The sequence below is a fragment of the Homo sapiens genome, chromosome 6, assembly GCF_000001405.40.
Source record: "Homo sapiens chromosome 6, GRCh38.p14 Primary Assembly".
In the NCBI taxonomy this organism is placed as follows: Eukaryota; Metazoa; Chordata; class Mammalia; order Primates; family Hominidae; genus Homo; species Homo sapiens.
This window is the reverse complement of record NC_000006.12, coordinates 154,460,941-154,486,791: the sequence shown is the minus strand read 5'-3', so window position 1 is coordinate 154,486,791 and position 25,851 is coordinate 154,460,941. Positions and strand designations below refer to the sequence as shown.

Below are 25,851 nucleotides of genomic sequence, written 5' to 3'. Positions count from 1 at the left end.
CCAGGTGTAGTGGCTTACGCCTGTAATCTTAGCACTTTGGGAGGCCGAGGCAAGCGGATCACCTGAGGTCAGGAGTTCGAGACCAGTCTGGCCAACATAGTGAAACCCCGTCTCTACTAAAAATACAAAAGATTAGCTGGGTGTGGTGGTGTGTGCCTGTAATCCCAGCTACTTGGGAGGCTGAGGCAGGAGAATTGCTGGAACCCAGGAGGGGGAGGTTGTAGTGAGCCAAGATCGTGCCATTGCACCCCAGCCTAGGTGACAGTGCAAGACTCCATCTCAAAAAATAAGATAAAATAAAATAAAATAAAATAAAATAAAATAAAAATTAGCTGGGCGTGGTGGCCCGTGCCTGTAATCCCAGCTACCCAGGAGGCCGAGGCAGGAGAAATCACTGGAAGCCAGGAGGCGGAGGCTGCCATGAGCCGAGATCGCACGACTGCACTCTGGCCTGGGAGACAGAGTGAGACTCCGTCTAAAAAAAAAAAAAAAGAAAAAGAGAGAGAGAGAAAAGAGAAGACAGTTGTACCTTTTTAAATGTCATGCTGTCGAGGGGTGATGGTAAGTGAGTTCTTAAATGTCTTTCCTCAGTTCTTCCACTAGCATAAAGAGACCTGAGGGCTGGCGATATTGACGTGTAGAGTAGGCATTACACGGCCGAGGGGAAGCATCCACAAAGGCACACCCTTGAAGGCCATATCTCTTGTTTTACCATAGTTAATACCCAACACTTACTACATTTCCTGCTTTACTGCTGCTTTTGATAACTGGTGGGTGTGGCAGTAATACATGGGTGTGTCCACGATGTAGTGGGTATGCCAGTGAGTTATTGTCCTGGCAGAACAGCCCCAGATGGAAGGTGTCCCGTCGCGCCAAGCCCAATTAAGGAAACCAGCCCGGTTCTTCTTGGGAGCCAAGAAGTTATTTGGAAAGATCTGCTCCTATAAGCACTGTTGGGAGTAACTTATAGAAGCAGATCTTACAGAAGCAACCACCAGAAGGGTGATTACCCCTGTTCCTTAGTCACCAGAGTTGCTTCTTCAGTTTCCAAATCACAGAAAGTCTCAAACTTCTCAAGGGACTTTTAGATTGCCTGTGCAGCGAGGAGAAAGAATGATGCCCACCGTGTCAAAGAGGCGCCTTGCAGGGAGTAACCTGGAGTGACGTGAATCACGCTGTTCGTATTAAGAACAGATTTGGTCTTATGGTGAGCAGGACTCATACCTGATGCGTTTTGGGAAATGCAGGTGTTAAATAAAAAACTTAAAAGTTGACCTGATTTGCCTTTTATAGATGAAGGAGACTTTTTGTAAGGCATCTTTGAGCCAGGGGAAAAAACTGTTTCTATATTTTATTCAGTGTGTGCCTGTTTCTGGAACAGAGCTTTAGTAAGTGATTAATGTAGAAAAGTTCTTTTAAAACTGGAAAATTCTGTATGCGCCAAAGAAGCCCCTTTCCAACCCTTTAGAAACACATATAATTTCTTCTAGATCAGTTTCCAAGTTAATATTTGTCTAATTTTTGTGTGTTGAGTAGTACTTTTCAAAAGATATTTGTAAGATACCTAGACCAATCCTCTCCTCCCAAACATTATAGGTTTGGAACTCTGTGTAGGGAGATGTGATTCATAATTAATGATTCATGTACATCATATTTTAGATGCTGTCAGTTTTCAAACTTGTACTTTGAACTTAAAAGTTGAAAAAATCCACCAAAAATTCCCATAAAGAGAAGTTAAAATCCAAGCTAATTGGCAGCTCTGCCTTCAGTGGAATTGGCAGTCTTGGTGTCTGAGAAAGCAGTGATGATGAATGAAGCTAAAAACCACCTCTCCAAAGGCCTGAGACAGGGAGGTCAGTAGCAGCTACCAGACCTGTGTGGCTATTCAAGCTTTCAAGCCTTAAGACCCAGCGTGGGCCATCAGTGTTCCCGTGCTGGTTAAACTCTCAAAGAAGCTTCGCCTCCATCCAGATGGTAACAATTGATTTTTATTTTCAAGTATTTATTCATTTTCTTTGGGGGAGGGGGAAGGGGATAATCATATTTAGGTTTGAGATGATAGAGACAAGGAGTATCTTTTTTTTTTTTTTTTTTTTGAGTCTTGCTCTGTTGCCCAGGCTGGAGTGCAATGATGCGATCTTAGCTCACTGCAACCTCCACCTCCTGGGTTCCGGCGATTCTTCTGCCTCAGCCTCCTGAGTAGCTGGGATTACAGGCATGCACCACCATGCCCGGCTAATTTTTGTATTTAGTAGAGATGGGGTTTCACCATGTTGGTCAGGCTGGTCTCGAACTCCTGACCTTGTGATCTGCCCGCCTTGGCCTGCCAAAGCGTTGGGATTACAGGCGTGAGCCACTGTGCCCGGCCAGGAGTATCCTTATAGTGAACAAATACTGGGTATGAGGCAGTGCTCAGATGCAAATCCTGTTCACGTTGGTGAACTGGATGACAGCCTGCGTATTAGGTATATTAAGATGTTTCTTGACTTCTGTTGGTTATATAACAAGAGCAGGCATTTTTCCTAGGACTGTGGTTTCAGCACTATGGATTCCATGTTTTTTCTTCCATCGTTAAGTCTAATTTTGAGGGTTGATAATGACCTTCGATCATTCAGTCCAAATATTTTATTCTTTTGTGTGAATAAGTTATTTTGTCGTTAATGACATTGTGGCCCAGAGATTTAAGTGGCAGGACCTAGACTAGAACCAAATTCTCTAGACTCCCAGTTCAGAAGGTTTGTGATTATACTATTTTTCCATCTTGCTCTGATTGGCCCCCTTTCCCCAGATCCCATAAAACCTATGGCTTTGTAGGTCCCATCCACCAGCAATAATGTGGCACATCCTAGCATTTTTCCTGTTCTGTAGTACAGTCCCAATCAAGAAGCCTTATTAACCTTCTGTGTGAGGGACTAGACTCAGTGTTGGGTTTGGAGGATCCACTGGTGAGGAGCATTCAGTCTAGCAGGAGAAATGTCAGCATTATTTATTACACAACAAGATCTGATGCATTCAGATGTACTTACAGGTCTAGGAACTGTTCAGAGGAGCACAAATGAATGAGAGAGAGAGGGAGAGAGGGAGATTGAGTGAGTTAGAGAGTTGTTGGTGCTCCACAAGGAGCAGTAAAGTATTTTAAAAATAAAAAATAATAAGGCTGACTCTGTGTCCTGCCTAGGGGTTGGCCATGCTCCACAAAAAGCAGTAAAGTGTTTTTTGTTTTGTTTCGTTTTTTTTTTAAAGACAGTTGCTTGAGGATGGTTTTCGAGGATAAGTGCCAGCCAGATGAGGGGTGAGGGTAGGGGACTTCTAGGTGAAGTGATTTAGAAAACTAAGAGGATTCTGCCCATTGGTAGTGCTGGGCAGTGAAGTTGGTTGTGCGTGGCATACTGTCAAGTTGTAGCAATCACTAGGTGTACTCGCACTGTTCCTCTTCTCCAGCCTGATTCAGAATGGAAAGAGGCTGCCGAGAGTGCATCAGTGATCTTCTGTTTTCTTACAGGTTAAAGAACGTTAAATGTCTGCATATGATGGCTGGCGTGATGATGAACAGGCTGTGACTAGTGTGGATTATTGGATACCTAGAGGCTCAGTGGCCTAGGTGTGATCAGGAGGAAGGGTTAGGGAGAATGCTTTGGTTAGACTCAAATAGAAAGACAGCAGGCTCTGTTTGAGACTTCCTGTCCTTCGTCCAAGATGCCACTGGGGTAAAGGTGTGGATGCAGCTTTGCATGTTTAGCTTCTGGAACCAGACAGAACTGCCTTTCAGTTTTCCTGGCCTTGGAGGAAACAGATAATGAATGCTAGGAAACAGCTGCTTCTAACGTGGCAGGCAGAAATGCATCCTCATGGAGCAAATCGGTCATCACAGGAATATTAGTGGAAAATCATCTCTGATTAAACATTCAAGAGCTATGGAATGTGATTTACTTTCATATATTCACCCTTCCCCCCATTATCTTTCCGTTGCCTGTAGATTTCATTTTTATTTGTCAAATAATACAGAAATACTTTCTTGTAAAAGAATATTTAAACAACAGAACTCTAGATAGGTTGGAAAAGATAGTCCCCTTTATGCTATACCCTTCTCCTTTCCCAGAGTTGGGGGTCAGCACCTTCTGGAACCCTTCCTAGACATTTGCATACATGTTTATTCTTATTTGCACATAATCATTGTCTTTTTGTAAATGGATTTCTGCACAGTTTGAATCTGTTCCTTTTTACATTGAATACTGTCTTAACGATTTCTCTGCATCACTATATTTAGATAAACCTCAAATTTTTAGAAGTAGGGCTTATGCAATCAAACTTAATTAACTTTATTAATCTAAAAAATAATCTAAAAATCTAAGTGCCTCTTAGGAACAGAAAGGTGTCATGGCCCACCCACTTTGGGACTGGATGGTGGATTTAGGATGTTTTGTGGCAGGCTGGCTTGCACCTGGCAAAATATCTTGGGTCAGTCTAACAAGGGAGAACTGATCTCCTGCCCTGAAAGTTTATTACTGTGGCACCAGTTCTGCTTAAAACAAACATTTAGTCTTCTTTTAAGGCCAGGCTTATATTAAAGTGCGAGGTGGCCTGATAAACAATCTCTGAGATCCCTTAGGCATAGGGAGAATGTGGGACTTGTATCTTTCTCCGAAGTTTGTTTCATAATTTTACAAAGCCTATTTGAGAGAAGTTGGTAAGGTTGACCCAAAGGGCAAGGTAACTTCTTTGAATTTTAGTGCCGAGAAGTAGGACACAGAATTAATAAGGGGGAACTCTTTGGAAGGGGTCACGGGGCAGATAATTGTTCTGTTACATTCATGGGCTGATGATGTCATTGGAAGGCACTTGATGACAGATTGGTAGAACTGTACTGTGCATTAGAGCTTGCCACCCCAGCAAACCCACTGATGGGACTTGGTGTTTTGGTTACTCCCTGAAGTACAGTGGCAGTTGTCCCGGGAGTAGAAGATGTTCTTGGAATGCTGTCATTATTACCTTGGCTCACGTTATTTAGAAAAAGAGGAAGATGCCTTCTTGGCCTGATAATGTGACAGCCACCTGCTGTCACTCATTTTTTTCAGTGCTCTGAAGATGACCAGAACCTGGTCATCAGGTCTCCTTTAAAAAGAACAAAACACAGACATGCATAAAATCATACAGCATAAAAGGATGATGTCATTCTCAGGGAGACAGGGCAGCATGTGCCTGTGTTCCTCATCTACTCTTGAAGGCATCAGGTCTCTTCTATTTCACACTGCCAGTTGCTACCTAAAAGAGGGAACTTCTCGAGGAGAGATGGACTTTCATGCTCAGTGACTTAGAAACTGTGTTAGAGCTGACTGCTATCAAATAAGCATAAGACTGCTATAAATAAAATAGATAAATATCAAACAAGCACAAATAAATAAGCAAATACATAAGCAAAATAAATAAATATCAAATAAGCATAAGACTGCTATCAAATAAAATAAATATCAAATAAGCATAAATAAGTAAATAAATATCAAATAAGCATAAGACTGCTATCAAATAAATATCAAATAAGCATAAATAAATAAGCCAAATAAATATCAAATATGCGTAAGACTGCTATCAAATAAATTAGAACTGACTGCTATCAAATAAGCATAAGACTGCTATAAATAAAATAGATAAATATCAAACAAGCACAAATAAATAAGCAAATACATAAGCAAAATAAATAAATATCGAATAAGCATAAGACTGCTATCAAATAAAATAAATATCAAATAAGCATAAATAAGTAAATATCAAATAAGCATAAGACTGCTATCAAATAAATATCAAATAAGCATAAATAAATAAGCCAAATAAATATCAAATATGCATAAGACTGCTATCAAATAAATTAGAACTGACTGCTATCAAATAAGCATAAGACTGCTATCAAATAAATAAGCATAAGACTGCTATCAAATAAATTTCTTAAAGATATGGGATCATGCCTGGCTTTAAAAGAAATAGTAATTGCGAGATATGGTGGCACATGCTCAGTGAACTGTTTTAATCTGGCTTTCAAGGAAACTGGGCTTTATGGGATTATAAGGAGGTCAAGAACGTGGTATATCTTCTGTTGGATGTAAAATTGATGTTTATAGTTCAGTAGTGTCACTTCTTTGATAGTGGGCAACCAGGGACACGCTCACATGATGGTTAATAAAGGCTCTTCAGACACTAGATTTAAATTCTGCATTCATCCATGTAGTAAGCATTGACTAATTTAATCGCATGGAGAATGAGCCAGGGAGACAGCTTTGTTTTCCTGTATCCATCCTGCTCATGAGACTCCGCCGCTCTCAAAGGCTTTACCTGCCTGCCTGCGGAAGTCACACACACCAGAACAGGTGCCCCACCTGCTGTAGGGGGAAAGCAGAGCCAGTCTGGGGCAAAGTAAAATAACCCGTGTTGAATCCTCACTCTAGCACTCAATGGTAGTATGACCTTGAGCATTTAGCCCTTCGGAGCTTGCTTTCACATCTGCAAAGTGGGCATAATAATACATCACATGGCTGTTATGAGCATTAATGAAACAGCAGGAGAGAGTGCCCAGCTTATGTTGTGGAATACAGAAGGGCTCAGGAAATGGTACTTGTTATTTAGACATTTAAAAGAAAACATTCCTTTTCATGAAATGAGACGGCCCCAGCACCAGACATCTGGTGCCTGGTTCTCAACACTGTACACCATAGATAACTTTCCGTTCCTGACAGCCAACAACGAGAAAGTTTACTTCCCCCAAAATTGTTCTTCTGGAATTACAGCCATTCTGTGATTTATTTGCCTCTGTTCCTGCCCCACAAGGGCCACTGCAGTGCAGTTAAACCCCCAGTCTGTTCAGGGGCAGAACTAATCTTAACCACCGTGTGAGGGAGTCTGGGGGCTGGGAGAAACTCACAGTGTACAGTTACAGTAAGTTGCAAGAATAAAATCTCACGTGACTCTGGGACAAGTTTTAAATTTTAAAGTCTCTTCCAGGTGCTTTCTCTGGAACAACAACAACAAAAAAGTTAAAAGCTCACGTAAAAGGACACTTTATTTTTTTTAAAAGAGCCATCTTGAAATATGTAAGCACAAACATTTCCCAATAGAGACGTCCATAATTTTCGTTCTGTGTTGCACATTCTCGTCTTGAATTGTAGTGGGGGGCCTCGATGTGTGCAGTAATTATTGTCAGTCCTTGGTTGACTCATGCATTCCTAGCTGTCGCAGTGAGATCTGTGTTTATGTGAAATATGGAAACGATTTTTACCCCCGCTTTCTTTTGTGCTTGAGTTTGGATGGAGCAGCTGAATGCTCTTTCTTTGTTATTTTTAGGGGGTCTTCAGTTTTGGAGCTCTAGTTTAGGCTTGAGGAGGGCCAGCTGTCAGCGTGGCTTGGGCTGGTCTTTATGAGATCTGGCCTGTGTTTCTGCAGTTAGAACCTGATTCTGAATCCAACTCCCTTCCACCGACATGGGAGGCTCTCACTTCTACAATTTTATTTGCCTCACATTGAAAACAGAATGGAAACTCAAGTAACAGTAGTGGAATCTGCACTGAAAGAATATTTTTTTTTTTTTTCTCTGAATCCATCTCCTTTATTGGGAGCCATTTGTCTTGAGTCCTGGCCACTTTTTTCCTTTTTACTTCCAAATGACTTTCTGTTTGGGTGTTCTAAGGATGGGGGGGTATAGGCTGTGTTTTTAAAGCTCAGAGTTTAACTACAGAAAAACAAAACCAGAAAAGAATATGTTCCTCCCCCTTTTTAAACAATTTGTCCTCCTTGGAAAGAAAGTTTTACTATGTAGAATTTAGGAAATGTTTGTGAAAATGATCACAGGCTGTAAAGGAGTGTCCAAGCTGCTTTCATTGTGGCCAGCATGGCATTCTCATGATATCTGTAGCAAGCCTTTAAGTGTCTTGGCAGATAGAGTTTCTTCCTTCACAGCATAATGTTTTTCCAACTGCAGTGTTGTAGCTGCTTCATGTGCCGTGATACATGGCTAGGTGTCAAGATAGTTTTACAGGGGGAAGAACCCAAAAGGACTTTTAAAAGATGCAGGTTTCAGGAAAAAAGGAGAGTGATTTTTACAAAGGGAGTTTTAAATAAAAAGGCATTTGTTTGTGCTTTCTTCATGGGCAGACCTTTTCAAAGATGGCATTGTAAAAAGAGGATGTGCATTTCATTCCTTTATTAACAGAGGCCCTAGAGGCACGGCTGTCTTGAAGGACCTGGGGCTGCTGCTATGGAGATGAGTGTCACAGCTCCGGGACTTTAAGGAACTCCACTTTGCTCAGGCGTCAGACACATGAATAAACACGGTGCAGTCCAGAGGGGCAGAAGGGAGAAGTGATGAATCTTGCTGGTGAGGAAGCTGGTGCGTGGTTGGTGTCCAGAGAAGGCCTCAAAAAGGAGGAGAAGCTTCTGGGGAGCCTTGGAGGATCAGGAGGAGTTGGCCAGACCAGATAGGTGTGTGGGTGATGCTGTAGGCAGAAGAAGAGCAAATGCAAATGCATGGAGTGTGGAAGCAGCGAGGTGTGTTAGGAGAAGGAATCCCAGCTCCCGAGGCTGGAGTGCAGGTTGCAAGAGGAGGACGGGCGGAGGAGGAGCTTGGCCAGCAGGCCTCGGGCCAGCTTTGGGAGGCCTTTGCTTGTCATATGGTCATGTCATTCAGGCTGTACTCACCTTTCTTGAGAGGACTTCTTGGATAAGTGCCATTCTGCAGCCCCGGTGCCTGCCTTAGCCTTCTTCCAAGCACTTACCGCCTGCCCTGTTCTGGGTTTGTGTGTTCGCTGCCTCTCTTCCGTCATAAGGACGGAAGCCCCAGCAGAGCAGGACGTTCTTCTGTGATGGCTCCCCTGGTGCCTGGCGGTGAGTGATGTTAGGGGATTTGGACTCATCTTTGTAGTGAATGATGGGAGGATCACTGAAGGTCTAAATCAGGGGAGTCACATGAGTGCATTTGGGTGTTTGAAGAGCAGTGTGGATGGCAGGAGAGCTGATGACAAGTATTTAGGGAGAGCCTCCATGCACATTGATTGGGAGTCCATTAGCAGTCCTGCTCTTCAGGCTACCTTGGGTGGGCCCAAGCTTTGCTGGCCTAGTTAATTACCAATAGCTAGTATCAATGTCATTCCATCAGTGACATTTTGAAACTACTAGAAATTACAGAGAAGCAGCCAGACACCGTGGCTCACTTCTGTAATCCCAGCACTTTGGGAGGCTGAGGCAGGTGGATCATCTGAGGTCAGGAGTTCGAGACCAGCCTGACCAATATGGTGAAACCCCATCTCTACTAAAAATACAGAAAAAAAAAAAAAATTGCTGGGCTTTGTGGTGTGCTCCTGTAGTCCTAGCTACTCAGGAGGCTGAGACAGGAGAATTGCTTGAAAGTGGGAGGCAGAGGTTGCAGTGAGCCGAGATTGTACCACTGCTCTCCAGCCTGGGTCACTCTGCTCAAAAATAAATAAATAAATAATAAAAATAAAAATTACAAAGAAGCTCAGAATTTTTTTTTTTCACTCTGCAAAGCTGATAGCTGCCCAGGTATTCCAATAAAAGCCATGATGTTATAATGTTACAATCATTTTTGATAGTTCAGTGATTGAAAAATCTGAAGGAATTGTCTTTTTTTGAAATGCTTTGAAATAAAGTTGGTTCTTTATGTAAAAATAGGTTTTTTTAGGTCCTTAAATTGGCTTCAGGACATCCTGACCTCACAGCCATGTGCATTTCATAGTTGGGCTATTTGCAAAGTTAAAAGAAGATAAGAAAGTAGACATTCTGCAGTTCTTCTGAGAGAATTGATATGATGTCTCATTCTGTTTGCTGGGCCCATGAGGGAATGAACTGTTTCATATATAGGGATTTTCCTGATAACCGAACCTTAAGACCTGGTTTAAGGTCTTTAAACCTGGATATTTTTAAGACCTGGATATTTTTAATTTTTCCCTGTAGTTTTGGATGGAAACCTTTCTAAAATAAATTTTTAACTTTTTGGGCTTACAGAGTACATTCAACCTGAGTTAATGATTTCTTCATTCCTTGCTTATGAAAGAATGAATTATTCAGAATCACTGAAGTGTGTGGTTACCATAATGACAGGGCCTACCGATACTCGTATGACTACTTTGCCGAGTGACCCCAGAATGCCATGTTTTCTAAGTTACTGTCCTTGGCTTTTAGGTAACCGATGCTCCAAGTAACACACACTGGCTCCTCTTTTGGATTTACTAAACTTGTCTCTCTTGAAGGCTGGGAAACAAAAGAACTTTTCTGCTTTCTAAAATGAGAACAAACAGGCCTTGGGTGAAGGTCTGTCTTTTTTTTTTTTTTTTTTTGAGACATAGTTTCGCTCTTGTTGCCCAGGCTGGAGTGCAATGGCACGATCTCGGCTCACCGCAACCTCCGCCTCCTGGGTTCAAGTGATTCTCCTGCCTCAGCCTCCCAAGTAGCTGGGGTTACAGGCACCTGCCAGCACGCACAGCTAATTTTTGTGTTTTTAGTAGAGACAGGGTCTCGCCATGTTCGCCAGGCTGGTCTTGAACTCCTGACCTCGGGTGATCCATCCACCTTGGCCTCCCAAAGTGCTGGAATTACAGGTGTGAGCCACCGCGCCCGGCCCGAAGGTCTGTCTTAGAAGGCCTTAAGTCAAGCGAATGTACTTGATGGCATAGGTTTTATCATATCTTTAACATTTCAAAGAAGGAGGACTCATTTTGTTTTTTCAAGTCTTTCTAACGCTGAACCATCCATATCCGAAAAAAAAAAATGATATTATTACTTCTGCTGGCATCACTGCTGGGTTTGCAGGGTAAAAACAACACCCCCAAGCCTTCTTACACTGTTTGCCTAGAGGTCCCCTGGCTTGCCTTTTGGTTCCAAGTTGTGTGAGGTGAGGTGTTACTGTACTTAAGGTTTTTTTATCATCTTTGACAATGGTGGTTATTTATTGGTCGTCGACCACGTGTAAGGCACTACAAACAGCACAGGGAAATGACTTCTTTCTAGAAACTTACATTCTAGTTTGGAGGAGGACGTAGTGGAGCAGAGCTAGCCACAGTACTTGGAATTTGTCAGAGGTGCAGCAGGGTGGCTCCGCCCCAGGAAGGCCTAGGGCTGGGGAGTCCTCCTGTCCCCAGAAGACTGACATTTGACTGAGAGTGCAGCTTTCAGGGGGACTTGGATGGAGCTGAGAGGGAGCAAGAGGCCCTGGGAAATGCCCAATAGCAGAATCAGCCCCATCTGTCAGCGGGTGGCATAAGGTGGCCAGAACACCACACCTGAGTTGAAGCTTGTCTATACATGCCGGTGGGTAGGGAGGACAGCAAGGGCCGCAGCAGATGGAGGAGGTGACCATTTCCACCGGGGAGGGGGCGTGAAAACTTCATGGATGAGGGTGGATTATTGCTGGGTCCTGCCTAATGAGCACAGTGCTGGATTGGAGAAGGGGAGGGAAGGGCGCCCAGGGGGAGAGATGGTGGCCAGGAGGGACGAGGTGGAGAAGGGCCAGGCGTGTGTTGTAACTCTGAGGTGCTGGCTTCTTAGCAGAACTTGTTCTACCTCCCGGCTTCTCTGGCTGAGCCTCCCAGTGGGAAGACAATGGGTTCTGGAGTCGGATGGGCCTGGACCTCAAGACCAGTTCTACCACTTTTTAGCTGTGTCATCTTCAGCAATGTCCCCAGTCCCTCTCCATCAGCTTCCTCGTGTACAAGGGAGATCAGGAGTGATCTTGCAGACTTTTCAGAAGGAAAAAACAAGACTTAGATTTAACCATGAACAATGTAAACATAGTATATGCTCAGTAAATGGTGATTTCCTTGGGCCAGCTCTTCCGCAGGGCCCTGGTCTGGAGCCTCCTGAGGCCCGCAGTCTCTGCCCAACTTTCTGACTCACTCACAGCCACTGTCAAGTCAGCAGGCACAGGAGGAAAGGCATGACCTCATCTTCTTCCCACACTTCTCCTCTCTCTTTTGTGCCACATTTTCTGTCTAGTGTAGAGTTTGAACCTGGTCCAAACCCTTGGCACCCTCTTTGGCTAGTTTTTGCCTTTCATGTGATGTCGTAGTCCATCATCTCATCCTGTCCATTTCTTTCTCCCATGACACTATAGTCTACGGCTGTGCCAGGGGCACACCACCCCACATCCGGATGGCCCAGCTGCCTTCCCAAGGGCATCTCTGACTCTAGCAAGCCCCCGTCTATCTTGCACATTCTTTAGACCCTGCTGAACTCAATCCTTCCACGGTCCTTTACTTTGGCCATATCTTTCCCATCTAACCTTGTTTTTGTTTTCCATTAGTTCCAAGAACAATAATAGCTAATATTGATGTGTGCTGGGTATGTTGAAGGACTTTATATTGCCCCCCCCCACTTTTTTTTTTTTGAGACGGAGTCTTGCTTTGTCACCCGGGCTGGAGTGCAGTGGTGCGATCTCAGCTCACTGCAACCTCCGCCTCCCGGGTTCAAGCGATTCCCCTGCCTCAGCCTCCCGAGTAGCTGGGACTACAGGCATATGCCACCATGCCTAGCTAATTTTTTATGTTTTTTAGTAGAGACGGGGTTTCACCATGTGAGCCAGGATGGTGTTGATCTCCTGACCTCATGATCTGCTCACCTCAGCCTCCCAAAGTGCTGGGATTGCAGGTGTGAACCACTGCTCCCAGCTGTCCCATTTTTTTTTTTTATAACCCCATGAGGTAGGTGTGATAACTATTGCCATTCACAGTGACTCACGCCTGTAATCCCAGCACTTTGGGAGGCCGAGGTGGACGGATCACAAGGTCAGGAGATCGAGACCATCCTGGCCAACATGGTGAAACCCCGTCTATACTAAAAATACAAAAATTAGTTGGGTGTGGTGGCACGTGCCTGTAATCCCAGCTACTTGGGAGGCTGAGGCAGGAGAATCATTTGAACCAGGGAGTCGGAGGTTGCAGTGAGCTGAGATCATGCCACTGCACTCCAGCCTGGTGACAGACCAAAACTCTGTTTCAAAAAGAAAAAAAAAATAGTGGAGAGAACTGAGCATGGGAAAATTAAGTGATTGTCTAAGTTGCACAGCTAGTCAGTGTTTGAATCCAGGCGACCTGACTCCAGACCCTATATGTCAGACCCACTCTGACTTCACTGTCTTCTAGATGCTCTGTAAGAGCCGGGCTCTGTCGTTCACCTCTACTCGTTACCCTGTAGAGTAGACACTCCCTAAATGCATGCGCTCACTGTACAACGTCCTCATTCCTCTTCTGTGCCTTGTTTATGCCATTCTCCCCCAGCATCGTGGCAGGAGGTGGAGGCAGGGGTCATTGCTCTGAATGTGAACTCAGACAGCTTGGGCTTCAGATTTCAACCACTTTCCAGGTCACTCTTTTAAGCTACAGTTTCACCCTAAAAAAATGGCGATAATCATTGTGCCCACCTCCTGGAGCTTGTATGATGAACACATCAAATTTTGCGAGTCAATGCTTTAGTCCTATGCCTAACGCATAGAAAATGATAAACTAACAATAGCCCCACTAGCTCTATCATCTAACTTTGTCCATTATTTTCTGGCCCCTTTCAACGTGTGTGTGCTCTCTGGCACTTGTCTAACGTCTTCAGCTCATAATGAACTAGATACTTGTTCCTGTTTGACCATAGATTAGCTGTGTGACTTTGAGCAAGTTACTACATTTTATAAGCCTAAGATGCACCATGGTGATCACGGAGGGTTCTTTGGGGACTGAAGGAGGAATGTGTGTATCATGGTAAGCACTCAGTCCATTTTAGTTTCTTTGCCTTCTTCCTTCCTTCATCACCAACTTCCCTCCACTGACCAGCAGGCCCTCCATAAAAGCTCATTGATAGACTCGATACCTCACTTAGTTTAGAAGAAAGGGAGGTTCCTATTGTATGGGATAGCCTGGGTTGTAGTCAGTTAGCAGGGAACTCTAGAAAGTTGTAGAGTCCTGCCCTGTACGTTTTTTTGTTGTTGTTGTTTTGCTTTTTTTTTTTTTTCCTTTTAAAGATGTACTCTTAGTGGTAGTTCTAAGTATGGCCAGACCTTATAAAATAAAAAAAAATTTATACAATTTTGACATCCTCTGAACTCATCCATTCAGCAAATAATTCTTGAATATCTCCTCTGTCCCAAGAACTGTTGTAGCTGTTGGCGGCATGATGTGGACCAAAACAGTCGTGGTTTTTGTTTTCATGGGGTTTGTTGTTGGGAGACAGACACCAGCCATCCATAGAGTAAACTACATAGCGAGATGTGCTAGGAAGGGAAATGATAGGTATCCCGAGATACGAAATAAGGGGGATTTAGAGTTGAGGGCCAGGGAAGTGTTCCCAGTGAAAAGGATGTGTGAGCAGAGATCTGAGGGCCCAGGAGGAGTACCCAGGTACAGAGGCAGTGGAGTACCTTCAGATTTAATCATCACTCCTTTTCTTTTAATGTAATATACTATTTAGTATTTTATTAAGCTTGGATGATGACAGATGATAATTATTCTTAAAATCTGGAGGCATCCAAATATGCTGTCACTGGCTGCTTTTATCTCACTATAAATAGTACGTGTGTTGGGCTGGGTGAGGAAGGCTGAATTGTATTTAAGCACAACCAGTGCATTGTGTGTGTGTTTTTTTTAAATTATACTTGGGGCCAGTTCTGTCAGTAAAGCCCATCCAGGCACTTTGTCACATTATGGATAGCGCTGTCTGGGCTTGCCTGCCCAGGGCAGGTGCTCTTTATTTTAATTTGTATTACGTATATTTGCTCTGAAAGTTGTTTTTGTTGAAACTTGAAAAGCCAGGTGCTTGCAGCTAGAGAATGGGCAGACTTATTGGAAATTTGCTGAACAAGGTTTGTTACCATGAAGTAGGGACACCCTCAGCCAAGTGTAATGGGCTATGTAGAGAATTGTCCATCAAAACCCCCAGTATGATGGCCACTATGGAACTGGACTTCTATTTCAGGACTGGCATTTCCTGAAGCGTTATGGCAGGGTCTCTCAAAGTGAGGTGCCTGGGATAGTAAAGAGATTACGTTATAAGAGACACAAACGTGACAGGGAACTACTGTGTCACTGATGGTTCCAGCACCTTGCTGTCCAGTCTGTTTGATGAGGTCAAGGAAAGATTCTCTCTGTAGCTGTCATTTTTCCAGCACCTTTTATTTGCAAATTTTTCTTTTAGCATGAATAAGCAGGCCCTGGGAGACAGTTCCATCTAGCTAAGTTTGCTTTGCTTTCATATTTATATTCATGTTATTTATTTATTGAGAGGGAGTCTTGCTTTGTTGCCGTGGCTGGAGTGCAATGATGCGATCTTGGCTCACTGCAACCTCCGCCTCCTGGATTGAAGCAATTCTCCTGCCTCAGACTCCCCAGTAGCTGGGATTGCATGCCTCTGTGCCACCATGCCTGGCTACTTTTTATAATTTTAGTAGAGATGGGGTTTCACCATGTTGGCCAGGCTGGTCTCGAACTCTTGACCTCAAGCGATCTGCCTGCCTCAGCCTCCCAAAGTGTGCATTCATGGTATTTCTATTTATGGCAAGCAACACATATTTATAGCAGTGACTTAAAGGTTCTTATAAAAATGAAATTAAAAATGAATTGATTTGTTAAACAAGTAAATAAGTAGAAATGACACTCAGATTTGGTAAAATCATGAGGGTAGTACTTGAATGACTGAATGACTGAAGTTTGGGAATACTGTCTTGGCGTAATATGGATTTTTTTTCTTCCACTGTCTGGTATTTAGTTTCTGTTTCTGAGGACCTACTTAAAATTTGGATGTTAAAATCTGATAACACAATAATACACTACTTCTTACCCACTATTATGGCTATACTAAAAACGATGGATGATAACTAGTGTTGGTGAAGATGTGAAGAAATTGGAATCTTCATAAATTGCTGGCAGGAATGTAACATGGTGCAGCTCCTCTGGGAAACAGTTTGGCAGTTCCTCAGAATGTTCAAGAGTTACCACATGACTCAACAGTTCCACTCCTAGGTATATCCCCAAGAGAACTGAGAACGTACATTCACCTAAAAACCTATACATGAATGTTCATAGCAACATTATTTATAATAGCCAAAAAGAGGAAACAAACCCAAGTGTCCATCAACTGATGAATGGATAAAAATGTGGTATATCTATACAATGGAATATTAGTCAGCCATGAAGAGGACTGAAGTACTGGTGCAGGCTGCAACATAGATAAACCTTGATCACCTGATGATATATGAAATAAGACAAAGATAAAAGGTTGCATATTGTATGAAATGATTTATATGAAATATTCAGAACAGGCAAATCATAGAGATAGAAAGTACATTCGTTCTCAGCACTTTGGGAGGCCAAGGCAGGTGGAGTTCCTGAACTTAGGAATTTGAGACCAGCCTGGACAACATGGTGAAACCCTGTCTCTACAAACACAAAAATTAGCTGGGCATGGTAGCTTGCATCTGTAGTCCCAGCTACTTGGGAGGCTGAAGGTGGGAGGATTGCTTGAACCTGGGAGGCAGAGGTTGCAGTCAGCTGAGATTGCACCACTGCACTCCAGCCTGGGCAATGGAGTGAGACCCTGTCTCAAAAAAAAAAAAAAAAAAAAAAAAAAAAAAGGAAAGAAAGTAGGTTCTTTATTACAGGAGTTGGGAGAATAAGAAATAAAGAATGATGGCTCGTGGGTAGGGTTTCTTTTTGGGGTGATGGAAATGTTCTCAAATTACAGTAGACCCTTGAACAATGTAGGTTTGAACTTCACAGGTCCACTTATAAGTAGATTTTTTTTTTCAGTAAACGTACTGGAAAATTTTTTGGAGATTTGCAACAATTTGAAAAAACTTTGTAGTCTCAAAATATCAGAAAAAATTAAGAAAAAGGTATGTCATGAATGCATAAAATATATGTAGATATAAATCTGTGTGTTAATAGACTTTATGTTATCTGTAAAACTTCTGGTCAACAGTAGGCTATTAGCAGTTAAGCTTTGGGAAAGTCAAATGTTACACATGGATTTTTTACTATGAGGGGGTTGGCATGCCTAACCCCAAGTTAGTTCAAGGGTCAGCTGTAGATAGTGGTGATTGTTGCATAACCTTGTGGAAATACTAAAATCCACTGAATTGTACACTTTAAAAGAGAAAATTTTATGGTACATGAATTACATCTTAATAAGAAAGATCTGGTAGCAAAAGAACATAGGACTGGTGATAGAAGGCTTTTTGTGGAGGTGTTGTCTAGCGTTGCCAATGGAATGGGACTGGTGTCATCGTCCCACTGTTTAATAGGATGGTGCTTTTCCTGATGGTGCCCACGTAGCCTTTGGTGCCAAAATCCTATTGTAGGCTGACATGAGCAAGCTCCAACTGGCTGGACAAAGTGTAATACTAGGTTTTTATCTTCACAGTAGCACTCTGAGGTCTCTGGATTATTCATATATTTATTATTCATATGCGATGATGATGGGGGAGGAGGGCTTAAAGTTGGGTGGTAGAGTAGGGGCCTGAACCCTGGTCTTTATACTTTCTTTCTACTATTATTTGTAAACAAACTATCACGCACTTGAGAGGTAGCCAATCAGTTGCAAAATGGGGTTGAAGATGAGAAAGTTCAGTCTTGCCAGATTAACTTGCTTATTTAAGGATTTATGCTAATGAATTTTTTCTTTGATGCCAGTATAAATATTGACTCAAGATGTCATTAACAGCAATAATAAAGTACTCTTTAATTTGCAAAGAACTGTCAAACACAGTACTTCGTTATTTTCTTACTTTATTTATTTATTTAGAGATGAGGCCTTGCTCTGTTGGCCAGGCTGGAGTGCAGTGGCACGATCTTAGCTCACTGCAGCCTCTAAGTCCTGGGCTCAAGCGATCCTCCCACTTTAGCCTCCCAAAGTGCTGGGATTACAGGCATGAGCCATTATGCCCACCCTATCTTAGTATAAAGCTGAGGAAACTGAGGTCTAGGGATTAAGCAACTTCTGTACACAGAGAGGAAATCAGGAAGTCAAGCTGGTTCTTAAGCCCAAGTTGTCTGACTCTGTGTCCGCTATATTTGAATTTTTCCATAATGGCTTCCTGTTGCTTTGGTGTGTGGGGAGGCGTTCGTTCTTCATTCATTCAGTAGTTATTTACTAAGTGCCTCCTAGAATCTGTTCTAGGAGGTGGAGAAGATACTGCAGGTAATAAGACAGATGAGATCCCTAATTCTACGGTGCAGATGTTTTAGAGGAGGTGACAGACAGGAAGCCATTATCCTAATAGAGTCGGTAATTTCAAAAAGTGTTGTCTTCAGAAGGAAAAAATTTAAAAGGCAGTATGATAGAAGTGACTGTGATACAAAGGTGGACTTTTTTAGGTTAGATGGTCATGGTGTGTGTGTGTGTGTGTGTGTGTGTGTGTGTGTGTGTGTATAAAATATATATGGGCTGGGTGCAGTGGCTCATGCCTGTAATTCCAGCCCTGTGGGAGATCAAGGAGGGTGGACTGCTTGAGGCCAAGAGTTCAAGACCAGCCTGGCCAACATGATGAAACCTCATTTCTACTAAAAGTACAAAAATTAGCTGGGTGTGGTGGTGCCTGCTTATAATCCTGGCTGCTTGGGAGGAGGCTGAGGCAGGAGAGTTGCTTGAACCCAAGAGGTGGAGGCTGCAGTGAGCCAAGATCGAACCACTGTACTCCAGCCTGGGCGACAGAGTAAGACCCTGTCTCAAAAAAAAAAAAAAGAAAAAAAAGAAAAAAAAAAAGCCTAGGCGTGGTGGCTCATGCCTGTAATCCCAGCACTTTGGGAGGCTGAGGCAGGCAAATCACCTGAGGTCAGGAGTTCGAGACCAGCCTGGTCAAAATGACAAAACTCTGTCTCTACTAAAAGTACAAAAATTAGCCGGGCGTGGTAGTGGGCACCTGTAATCCCAGCTACTCAGGAAGCTGAGGCAGGAGAATCACTTGAACCCAGGAGGCGGAGGTTGCAGTGAGCCGAAATTGCACCATTGTACTCCAGCCTGGGCGACAAGAGCGAGACTCCATCTCAAAACAGACAAACAAAAATGATATATATATATATATTTATAATGGGTCTAACCACATACTTTACATAGTTATATGGTATATGTATATAAGTAAAATGTTATGAAAATAAACTTGAAATTAAATACTTATTTTTCAATAGAAGACTGTCATTCTAATGTGTGATTTTCCCATCAAGGCATAAGCCTTGTGCAAAATCACTTCAAGGAGTTACCTCTTACGAATATGACCTATGCTTCTTGCTTAAGTCACTAAACAGCTGTGGCGATCGTAAGCAGAAGATGGCATCTCCAGTTGTTGGTGCTCTTCAGGACCACCTGTTGACAGTGTGTATAGTGAGAACCCCTGAAGGCATCTGTAAGCCCTCCATGAGGGAGTGTTACATAGTAGTAGCATCTAGTTGATGTATGTCCTGGCTAAATAAATATAAGTTGGTTTAGATGGAATAAATTCTTTGTTTTGGGGAAAGTGTCATTCTTTTAGGACGCCCAAGCAGAAAGCTTTTATATTGTTGGCAGTGCCGTGCCTCTCCAAAACAAGAAACGGGCCATGAGGGATGGAGGTGATTAAAGTATCTCTACTCCCGGTGGGTATCTGGGGAGGATGCGGTCGGTGGTTCCATGGGAAAGGTTTCAGTAGCTGTTGTTTTACTTAAAGACTGCTCTTGGGAATGGCTGTGGAGGCCATTTGAGGGCTCTAACTGGAAACAGTGGCCATCTAATCTGCTTTTCCTCTTCCCCAAAGTTTTGCCTCCCTCTTTGCTGCCTCCTGCCTGCCTGTCCTGTTTGTTTTCTCTTTGCTTAGCTCTCTTCCTTGGAGTGGTACTCCCACATTTTCTTCTCTTCCATAAAAAAATACAGGTGGGCTGAGCTCACTCCTCTAATCCCAGGACTTTAGGAGGCTCAGGTGGGTGGATCACTTGAGCCCAGGAGTTTGAGCAAGCCTGGACAACATATCGAGACCCTGTCTCTATAAAAAAAAAAAACAAAAAAATTAGCTGGGCGTGATGGTGTGCACCTGTAGCCCCAGCTACTCGGGAGGATGAGGCAGGAGGATCATTTGAGCCTGGGAGGTGGAGGCTGCAGTGAGCTATGATTGCGCCACTGCACTCTAGCCTGAGCGACAGAGCTAGACCCTGTCTCAAAAACAAAGCAAAAACCAAAAAAGCAATTGGAGGACAATAGCTCAAGAGGTCTTTTTTCACTCATCCTTCCCCTCCCCACATCCCCCCATCCCCAACATGTTTTCTTTAAGGGATCACCTAGTTGTTTCCATAAGGGCCAAGGCTGGGTCCTGGACTCTGGGAGTGTGAACCCTCAGTCAGGGTTTACAATATTTCCAAAATGTTGCCAGTATTGCTGCTCATGCTTGTGCGTGTTTCTGTGGGGCAGGCGCTTCCTTTGTTTTTGTTTTTGTGGTGAAACACAAGTCCGTACATGAGCCAAGGGAACTGGCCCTTCTCTACTTACAAGCCACTAGACAGGTATTTTGTTTCTGGAGCCCTTAGGATATACAGGTACATGGTGACCTGTGCTGACAACTACTTGACATTTTCTCTTTCTGTAGTACTGTTTCTCTCTCCCTGCTTTTGTCTATTTCTGAAATGTGAATGGCACACAGAAAACTTGAAGTACACAGCCTAAAGTACCATATTGTTATTTGGTTCCAGCAAGGGATAACTTGCCATTTTCTAAAGTTTTTTCAAAATAAATTTGGAACATATAGGTAGAGAGTTTGTGAATTCCACAAGTGTTTCATCCTTTGGAGGCAGTCAGTTGCATATGGCTGCTTAGGTCACTACCAGCCTGGAGGGCCAGTTTCTAGAGATACATTCAAACATGAAAGCCCTAGAAAAGAATTCCATCCAGATTTCCTAGAAAGAATATACAGAATCCCCCTCACCTGTATTTTTGAGTGTTATTTAGAAACTTGGGCTACCCAACTCATCACATACTGGCTTCTGATAATGTCTTTAAGTTAAAAGTATTTTCTCGTCTGACCCATCCAGGTGGGAGAGCCATTTATATCTACATGGCCATGAACATTTCTGATGGCAGTCACAGACAGTAAGCTAAGTTAGCTTAAATGATGTGTATAATTTCCTGTTATATAAAACTGTACTTTCCAGAGATCAGCTAAAGAGACATCTGTGAACGTTTCTGTGTTGGAGGATGGGGGTAGCATCTGGCAGTGAGAATGTGAGTCCCCTGGTGTGAGCCAGGCTCGGCGAGGCTGTGAGCAAGTCACCTCCCTCTGGGTGCCTCAGTTCCTCAGCTCCAGGTGGGACAGTTATAGTACACATATGAGGGGATGCTAGGAGACTTAAGGGGTTATATATATATATATTAAGTCTTAGAAAGCACCTGCCATGCAGAAAGTGACATTTACCTGTTTTCTGTAATTATACGTGTAATTTTATATGTGCATTTTCCCAAATTTTAGTAGATTCTTTTGAATATTAGAGGAAATTTGAGTTCTTCTTAACCATAATATTTGGTAAGATAGATCGACCCTATTGTATTTTGCATTAAAGACTTTAGAATTTTATTTAAGCTGTCAATTTTGCAGATCTGAAGATGGAAACTCTTGTATTCATTCACCAAACACAGACCCCCTTTTTTTTTTTTTTTTTTTTTTTTGAGACAGAATCTTGCCCAGTTGCCCAGGCTGGAGTGCAATGGCACGATCGCAGCTCACTGCAACCTCCGCCTCCCAGGTTCAAGCAATTTTCCTGCCTCAGCCTCCCGAGTAGCTGGGATTACAGGTGCCTGCCACCATACTCGGCTAATTTTTTGTATCTTTAGTAGAGATGGGGTTTCACCATGTTGGCCAGGCTGGTCTCGAACTCCTGACCTCTTGATCCACCCACCTTGGCTTCCCAAAGTGCTGGGATTACAGGTGTGAGCCACAGTGCTGGGCCCACAGACCACTTTGAAGTTTTCCCCTGCTCTCTCCCTCCTATGCCATGACGTCCCTCTTGAGAGCGCACTGGTGGCCTGGGCTTTATGGCTCACTAAGGCCTTTGACTTTCTTTTTTTCTTTTTTCTTTTTCCTTTTTTTTTTCTGAGACAGAGTCTTGCTCTGTCGCCAGGCTGGAGTGCAGTGGTGCAATCTCGGCTCACTGCAACCTCCACCTCTCGGGTTCAAGCGATTCCCCTGCCTCAGCCTCCCGAGTAGCTGGGATTACAGGTGAGCAACCACAACGCATGGCTAATTTTTTGTATTTTAGTAGAGATGGGGTTTCACCATGTTGGCCAGGATGGTCTCGATCTCCTGACCTCATGTTCCGCAGGCCTCGGCCTCCCAAAGGGCTGGGATTACAGGTGTGAGTCACTGCACCCCGCCCAGGCCTTTGTCTTTCTTTAACGTGCTGCTTAAATCCACGATGTGAATTGTATGTTAGTGTGAATGTTTCCGAGAGTAGAATTTTTTTTCCTTTTGAGAACCTCAGTGGCATTGCCTGCTCTTGCCCTCTCTGGGAAGGACAGCAGAGGGGACACTGCTGTCCCTGCTGTGACAATGTGCAGTGATCACAGGGAGGCTTTCACCCTCCACCCTAACAGTCAGTCCCAGCTGAGCCAACCCAGGATCTGGTTTTCTGTATATCAGATGCACGATGCACACAACTGTTTTATTAAGCATGAAACAAAACCAAGAAGTATAACAGTGCTTTACAGTTCTTCTCTTAATTCTGGCCTCGTATGATCTTATCATGTATTAACCTCAGAAACACTACTTTTGCACATGTCAGTTAACTGTACACAAATAGTGCCAATTCCTGCCCTGTTGATGGGAGCTGGCTTTGCTATTAGAGGACTTTCTGCTATCGGGGGTTTGGCATGAAGGTGGTGCCTGATTAGTTTGATGATGGGAAAAAACACAGCACCTTAAGAAGTACAGAATCATAGCAACGCAGGGCCAGTGGGAACCACAGGGTCACCTTCCCAGCTCCTGCATTTTACACTGCAGTGAAGAAGCCAAGTGATCTGATTGAGGTCACTTAGCTCATGAGAGCCAGAGCCAGAGGCCTAGATACTCTTCCCTCAGCACAGCAAAAAGGTGACTCTGTAAGATGAGAGGACCCTAGAGATTCATATCAAGCAGCATAGGATCTGGGAAATGTTGTCTTGGCCCCTAGAGTGTAGTGAAAACTGGGTTTTCTGGAGAACAAGAGAAAGCTTCAGTTAAGTCATTCTGGTAACCAGGGCTGGCATCCCGTGAAGCCGCGAGCATAGCAAACTTGTGGGAATTTTGTGTTGAAGAACTCGAAGGATTCTTCCCCTGCCGTACTGCAGGCTGCAGGATTGGGATCTCCTTTTTCTCATTTCCCACGGTGAATACCCCCAGCCCATGTGCCAGTGGGTTGCATAATAAATATTTGGTGATGTATATATGAAAGAAAGGTGAAGCCGGGCGCGGTGGCTCACGCCTGTAATCCTAGCACTTTGGGAGGCCGAGGCGGGCCGATCACAAGGTCAGGAGATATCTCAAGACCATCCTGGCTAACACGGTGAAAACCTGTCTCTACTAAAAATACAAAAAATTAGCCGGGCGTGGTGGTGGGCGCCTGTAGTCCCAGCTACTCGGGAGGCTGAGGCCGAGATTGTGCCACTGCACTCCAACCTGGGCGACAGAGCGAGACTCCGTCTCAAAAAAAAAAAAAAAAGGAAAGAAAAAAAGAAAAAGGTGAGAAGATGAGGGTCAGACAGGTTCACCGGAAAGAATACTGACAGGGTGGGGGGAAATTGTACAACTTTATTGATTTATGCATCTCCAAACTGCAGTCTTCAACCTCAGCTGGACTTTTCCTTCCTTTTTTTCTCTTTCATTCAACCAATCCCAAAGTGCTTCCTCTGTGCTGGGCAGTGCAGGTGGCGAAATGGTAAATAATGCGGCCATGCATGGTCCTGGCCCTCTGTGGCGGGAGGCAGGGGGCTCGCTGCAGCATAATGAACACATAAACAGTCACAGGTTTGGAAAGGCTTGTGAAGGGCACAGCGAATAACAGAATGCTGGGCTCCTTCATATACCGTGGCCAGCTGAAGCCTCCCTGCAGATGTGAAGGGAGCTGAGACTGAGCCATTCTAGGTAGATGGGACCTCACAGGGAAAGGCCTCGAGATAGGAGCCCGAGGTGCTTGGCCAGCATCCAGCATAGTGGTTAGGGGAGAATGTGGCCGGAGATGGAGATGCCTTCAGGAAGATCACACTGGACCTTTTTGGCTGTAGATTTTATCCCCAGTGCAGTGGGAAGCCAGTAGGGCTTGGAGCAAGGGAAGAGCATTGAAGTTGTGCATTAAGAAGGCTTTAAGGAACCTCAAAAACTTGATACTAAGTGAAAGAAGCCAATCACACAAAACCACATACTGTATGATTCTGTTTATGTGAAATGTGCAGGATCCATTATGTGAAACATCCAGGCAAATCCATAGAGACAGAAAGTAGACTAGTAGTTGCTTAGGGTTGAGGGTCAGACAGGTTCACCGGAAAGAATACTGACAGGGTGGGGGGAACTTATACAACGTTATTGTATAATTTCGGGGGGAGGGACTTCTAATGGGTACAGAATTTTCTTTGGTGAGGGGGTGTTAAAAATTCTAAAATTGATTGTGGTTAGGGTTGCACAGCTCTGTGGATATTCTAAAACCTGCTGAATTGTTTACTTTAAATAGGCGAATTGTATGGTATATGTATTATGTCTCAATAAAGCTGCTATTAAAACATTTTAGAAAGACTTTAATGCTGCCTGGCAAACCTGCTCCATTGTCCCAGGCGGCTGTCCCCAGCCGTTTCGGCCCTTTTCCAGCCTCCTTGTATTGGAGCACCCCTTCCTGCCTCCAACTCCTGCCACTTCAGGAAGTAAAAGGCATCGGTTGCGGATAATATGAGATTCCTGCCATCAAACCTCCAAATCTCGCAAGCCCATGCTGGGTTCATGCTCTCCTTTCACAATTCTGGGAAATGGCTTTAAATCCTGACTCTGCCTATTATTGGTTGTGTGACTTTAGGCCAGTTACTTATAAGCTGAGCCCCAGTTTCTTTTATTTTTTAAATAGTAGCGCTTACTATATACCTGGTAATTTTTGTAAGTGCTTTAAGAATATTAACTCATTTACACATTTTAACACATTTAATCATCCAGTTAATCCCATGAGGTATAGGGACTGCTGTCCTCTCCATTTTGTAGATGAGGAAAGTGAGGCACAGAGAGGTTAAGTAATTTGCACAAGGTCACACAGCTGGGAAGTGGTAGAGCTGAATCCAGGCCTTCTGGCTCCACAGGCCATACTGTTTCTCCTGGCCTGTATAGTTGGTGCAGAGCTTCTTCTTGCTTATTTTACAATTGTTTAATCTTCAGCTACTTGAACAGCAACTATAAATTATGCCATTTCCACAATGCATCCCGTGGTGCCAAAAACATAGTAAGTACTCAGTAATGGACTCTGCACATTAACGTACTTAACTGTCTTCCCCTCCACTTATTTCTTCATTGACCACCTCAGACCCCACAAGGATCTAGGTGCCCAGTTGAGGTCCGGGTTCTGTCTTAGCTTTGCCTTTTTCCTGATAGTCTCTGGGATTTGCTTTCCTTACCAATAAACTGGAGATGATGATAACCCGGCCAGCACCCTCCGTGGGGTCACTGCAGGGATCCATGAGCCACTGTGTGGGTGGGAACTTTGTAAATCAAGCCGCCCCCTATTCATGCGGGGTTTTAATTTAATACAAGACCTGGCTGTTTGGACCACGCACTTTGAAATGATGATGGCAGTGTTGGGAGAGGGTTGGCTGAATGGTTTTTCCATGGAAATCCTGATGGCTCAGGTGGAGCAGAAGTGA

The 25,851-nt window shown here is 43.7% G+C and overlaps 1 protein-coding gene across 4 annotated transcripts in view, besides 2 other annotated features; it reads left to right on the top strand.

Annotated features, from left to right (window-relative positions):
• CNKSR3 (CNKSR family member 3) overlaps positions 1-25,851 on the top strand; it is a 123,171-nt gene that overhangs the window by 23,894 nt on the left and 73,426 nt on the right. Inside the window, exon 1 of one of the 4 annotated variants that reach the window (NM_001368118.1) lies at positions 8,301-8,463. The exons of the other annotated variants lie outside the window; for them this stretch is intronic. The gene's annotated coding sequence lies outside the window, so the exon portion shown is untranslated. Of the gene's footprint in view, positions 1-8,300; positions 8,464-25,851 lie in introns of those variants that run through there. 4 annotated transcript variants of the gene reach the window in all.
• Positions 9,660-9,860: a silencer, noted in NCBI's record as "peak6228 fragment used in MPRA reporter construct". NCBI's record gives its function as "represses an SCP1 promoter by STARR-seq MPRAs in K562 erythroleukemia cells {active_cell/tissue: K562}" and the evidence as "EXISTENCE:reporter gene assay evidence [ECO:0000049][PMID:32103011]".
• Positions 24,043-24,337: a silencer, noted in NCBI's record as "tiled region #5073; HepG2 Repressive non-DNase unmatched - State 14:Gen5', and K562 Repressive DNase matched - State 8:EnhW". NCBI's record gives its function as "represses a minimal TATA promoter and a strong SV40 promoter by Sharpr-MPRA in HepG2 and K562 cells {active_cell/tissue: HepG2 | K562}" and the evidence as "EXISTENCE:reporter gene assay evidence [ECO:0000049][PMID:27701403]".